Here is a 5385-nt window from a genome sequence, read left to right as displayed (position 1 = left end):
CTCTTGTGATAATATTCAGCTATGTAACTTACAATGAATCTTCCTCGTGCTGTTAAATGTATCAGAAATATATTCCAGTGTTTATTTTAGGTTTGGGGTATTTCAAGGGAAGGGGCGATTGGTATTCATAGCAAGTTATAAAATTCTGAAATAGACTGTGTATATTGAATTATGAATTAAAATGACTGACTGAAACAGGACTAGCATTCTTCTAAACTGTGAGTATGACTTGGAAAAAAAAGTAAATGGTGTTATACATTTTTTGTTGTCTAAATTTTAGACACTTGTATTTACTTTTAAGCTAGACCACCCATTTATTTTTTGAGGAAAAACACACAGCACAATGAGTCTTTAAGGGATGAAATTGTAAAACTAGGTCCCCACATTATGCTGAAGAAAGACAGGGCTATTACTTGCATGCAGATGTTTCCGGTCTAAGAAGTTATTTGTTCTATTGGGAAATGTTAATTGAGTCCCTTTTAGTAGAACCTGGCCTCTGTGGATTTGGTTGTCTTTGGGAGAAATGTTCCTTTTCCAAAACTGCCCAGTGCTGTAGATTATTGCTTATTCTCAGAGTTGTGGGTGTAAAACTTTCAGGCAACTGATTGCAGGAAATCTGAAAAGAAGATCATCAAGAATGTTGGAAACACTGGTAGGCATGAAGCTCCCTGGAGGAAGCCTGACGAGAGGAACCTGATGCTCCATGTGTGGCATTATCTAAGATTGAATAACTTCACTGCAGGCACAGTGGACTACTTTGTTCTGATGAGTCATAGGACCGCACCCTGATGGGTGGGGTTTCCTTGATAATTCCCTACTGTTCCCACTGTCAGTCATACAGAGAAAGGTCAGATTGAGGTCAGGAAATGAGGTAAGCCTTAGTGTGAAAAGGTGTCTGAGAAAGGCATTTCTTGCTTGGGCCTATTGATAATTTGGTCTAGGTTCCTAAAATGTAAAAAGAAGCCTTGGTGATTAAAAGTGCAGAACAAAACCTTGCAGTCAAAATAATGTTGATCTGCTACAGGAGTAACAAGTTGCTAAACAGTGCTACTCAAAGTATAGTTCCAGGATAAGAACAGGTGAAAGAAGTATGCTATGAGCTGATAAAAGAAGTCTGCCATCAGTCATTGATGACAAAGCACAGAAATGTAGAGCTAGAAACCTTTAGAACAGATTGATTAATTTTATATTTATGTAATCTAATAATAAATAAATTGAATTTGTATTTTTATAGCCTTTTAAATTTCATGATTTTAGCTATTTATTTTTACTACATTTTAGAAAAGTTTTAGTCAATGACAGATTAAAAATAAAAATGATGGTCCTTTATTATAAATAGCTTGAAAGCACTTGTGTTAACCTCTTTATTGAAGTTTCATATCTAGAAAATGTCACAGATTTATTGTAAATAATAAATGAGATGATGTTTGGAAAGTGCTTAGCCTAATTCCTGGTACTTATTAGCTACTTGATAGACAGAAGCTGATTTTAATATATAGAAATTGTTACTATTTAAGTTGGGACATAGAGAATGAAGAGGAATTCCCTACATGAAGAAGTTAAGAGTGTAGGCTAGAGAGAAGGACCAGGATTATGCAAAAATATAAATTTATGAAAGGGCATGCCAATTATTATTTGTCCATTCTCACACTGCTATAAAGATACTGCCTGAAACTGGGTAATTTATAAACAAAAGTGGTTTAATTGACTCACATTTCTGCATGGCTGAGGAGGCCTCAGGAAACTTACAATCATGGCAGAAGGGGAAGGGGAAGCAAGCACCTTCACAAGGTGGCAGGAGAGAGACTGAGTGAGGGAGGAAGTGCCACAGTTTAAAACCATCAGCTCTTGGGAGAACTCACTCACTATCATGAGAATAGCATGGGGGAAACCGCCTCCATGATCCAGTCACCTCCCACCAGGTCCCTCCTTCAACATGTAGGGATTATAATTTGAGATGAGATTTGGGTGGAGACATGGAGTCAAACCATATCACCAACATGGCTGCAATTTGAATGTGCAGGTCAAAGCCATAACAACTAAAATATAAGTGTGGCCATCATGTGTCCTGGGATGTGCTGGAGAGTCTTGTTCAATAGTCGAGCCTACTAAGGAGATAATTAAGGAGAACTAAGTGCCATTAAGAAGAATAATCCTTAAGAATTATTTTAAAGTCCTCGAATATTCCAATATTTATAATTCTTATATTCTTTCTAATTTTAGTTCTGAAAATATAGCCATTCTAAATGTTGATGGTGTTTGACATTTTTCAATTGGTAAGATCAAAAATGATAAAATATGGGCATTGGGGTTTATTTTTGTATGATGCTAAATGTATCCAAATGCAAAACCAAATGTGTTAAAAGATTATAAAGGAAACAATGAATGCATTTAAAAAATTAAATGTTTATAATTACTCTACAATACTTTTCACATATGCAAAGGTCTTAATTACAAACACTCCTTAATTATAGACCCTTGCATGACCTCTACTGGGAAGAATAACTTTGTTTTTCATTACAGTAAGGGAAAGTATCCTCTTTAAAATAATAAATCTATGTCTTTATATAGATATCTGTTAATTACTTTTCATTAATTGAACCATTCAGAAATATCAAGGTGTGCAGATGCTCTCCTGTTTTAGGAAGGTTTCAGTCACATTTTACTATTCATTATTTATGTGTCACAACACACTTATTGTCTAGGAAATATGCTGTAATCTCTGCATGTATATTACTATCTAAAAGATGCACAAACATTAATGAGTAAATAGCAGAAACTGTGCTAAAACTTTTGATTCTTAGTTCTTGGTTGTTTTCCATTTTCCTGCTGAGACAGCTCGCCTACTATTTTTGAAGGCAGGTTTCAGTTGTTATTTGCATTTTCCCCCTTCTAATTTAGACTTTCATGTCTTCAAAACACATTCTCATCTCATTTTTAACCAAAACCAAATGAATCTCTTATTTTGTTAATGAGTTACGGTCCCCAGCTCTAATGTTAGAAAGTGATCTTTCTTAAGAAAAATTCTAACAGCAGCACAAAAGCTCTATTAGGAATTGTTGGGGATATGGCCTCCCTTCCATGACTGTCACGGTTATGTTGTTTGATGTTGTGGAACTGGCATTGTTTTCATGACAAAATGCGTACTGCAGATGGTGGACAGCCAAATCTTGTTGAAATGGGCAATTGTAAGATGGACTCAATCCTGAAAAGCCCTCAGCCGGTGCAGTGAAGTGGTTATATTATTTTATTGGGAGGGGAGGAGATTGTGATTTGGATCCTGAATGACCTGAATGATAAATCAGAAGCTTTTCCTCATCTGTATACTACTTTTCATGGGGAGATTTTGCCAGACACAAAATTGCAAATTGTCTGCTGAATTAAAGTGTATGAAAATTAAAGTGGCCAAATAAATGCAAATCGTCACTGTTCTCAGGACAGGTACTGACCGATTTAGTCAGTAAGTCATACTTTGATGATTTTAGCAGTAATTTACTTTTTTAATTCAAAAAGGCATTCAAACAGACATCATAAACAATAATTTGTGTGGTGAACCAGCCAGCCCCCTGCTGGCTCTCACATTCGCTGTTCCCCTGCTTGAAGCAAGCTTCTTTTGCATCAAGTTTTACGTGGCCAGCTCCTTGTCAACATTCTAGTTTCTGCTTATATGCCAGCCCCTTGAAAAAGATTTCACATTTTATCTAAAATAGCATTCCTTTGCCCAACACTCTGTGCTTTTACTTTAGTTTTAACTCCTACCACCATGCAATATTATTTCATTTACAAATTGATTACTTGTCTATTTTCTGCCTCCTGTAGATAGAACATGTATTTATGAGAGCGGAGACCTTATTTGTGTTTTGACTGTCTCCAATCCCTGGCTCAATAAGTACTCAATAAATTTGTGTGGATACATTAAGCAAAATAAAATATGGTGTGTGTGTATGATATTCTCTATTTAAAACAAAAATTAACCTGTGTTATTGTCTAGGCACAAGAAAAGCCATTGATTTTGTTATAAGCTTTTTCATAGAACCACAGAAGTTCTAAGGTCATGCCTTTTTTCTCCATTATTGAAATATAAAAAAGTATTTTTTTGTAGAAATCTAGTTTAAATGGATTATTTCAAGAAAAAAAAATGAGTTTTCCTTAAACAGGTATACAAAAACAATCCTATTAACCATAATGCACAAAGAGTTTTTCATCTGTTGTTTTCCTTTAGTTGGGACTTTATGCTTTCTGTAATAGTATCATTATTGCCAAAATATGGAGGGATTTGGGGATACCTTCATTACATTATACAACTCTCTATATCATATTCATTTTCTCAGTAGTTAGTATTTGTTCTGAGTCAAATATCATTATTTAATCTATTTAGCCTGTATTTAATCTTTGTTGATCTTTTTTTCATAAAAAAGAGAAAAATCAATTTTCTATCATGTTTGTTAAACAGGTCGAGTGAGATTTTGATGGGCATAGCAAATAAAGTAATTGATAATTATTTGCCAAGAGATTCAATTTAATATATTAAAGGGAAACTACAAATAAGATAATAAATCACTGCTTGATCTCTATTAGTACCTCTATTTATTCTGAGCATCCCAGAACATGTGGGTGGAATGAAATGTCAAAAAAAAAAAGAAAGGTAAGGTAATTTTTTAGAGAGAAAACAGATATCATTAGAAATATTTATAACTAAAATTCCTAATTCTAATATATATCCAATGTACACAAATTGGAAAACAAAATGAATATAGGCAATACAAGATATTAAATTCGCCCACAGAATCTGGCATACAAGCCAAGGTTAACTACCTTTGCCCACCATGTAAATATAGCACTCTCAAGGCAGCTACATTTAAAGTTCTGTCATTCTCATGCTTTTGACTTATTTAGAAGATGAAGCTTATATAATTTTAATGTTCAAGGAGTTTTACTGTTCATTACTCCTGAATCTGTAAAATGGCACAATATCTAAAAGGATCTGTTGTATAGTCTTGCCATTCTATATCCAGACTTTCTTTTTTCCAGCATAGAGAAATACTGCCCATTTACAGGGGGAAATTAAACGGAGGACATTTGCATGCATTTATTTTATGCACCTGTGAAACATCCATTATGAGCAGATTACTGTAATGGTCACTTGAATACAGAGAGTTATGAAAAACAGATCACTACTTTCAGAGCTTCAAGTCAAACTGGATGATGACATAGATCTGTGAATGCTTTGATGACTTATGTGATGATTACGAGAAGGCCTAAAGCCTCTCTCATAGGAGAGGAAATTTTATGAGAATATGGAGTTTCTATAAGAAAGTGATCTATATAGGCATGTAAGTGGCAGGATTAAGTAAGTAGGATGGGGCAAGATCATGCACCAGGGAG

At 34.5% G+C, this 5385-nt stretch overlaps 1 annotated feature.

Moving 5' to 3' along the window:
* Positions 363-1562: an enhancer, noted in NCBI's record as "BRD4-independent group 4 enhancer chr12:83043817-83045016 (GRCh37/hg19 assembly coordinates)". NCBI's record gives its function as "activates an origin of replication core promoter dependent on BRD2, P300/CBP, MED14 and CDK7 cofactors, and independent of BRD4, by STARR-seq in HCT116 cells {active_cell/tissue: HCT116}" and the evidence as "EXISTENCE:reporter gene assay evidence [ECO:0000049][PMID:35650434]".

This window comes from Homo sapiens, chromosome 12, assembly GCF_000001405.40.
Source record: "Homo sapiens chromosome 12, GRCh38.p14 Primary Assembly".
Taxonomy (NCBI): domain Eukaryota; kingdom Metazoa; phylum Chordata; class Mammalia; order Primates; family Hominidae; genus Homo; species Homo sapiens.
The sequence above is the reverse complement of the archived record's forward strand: the minus strand, read 5'-3'. Positions and strand labels throughout refer to the sequence as shown.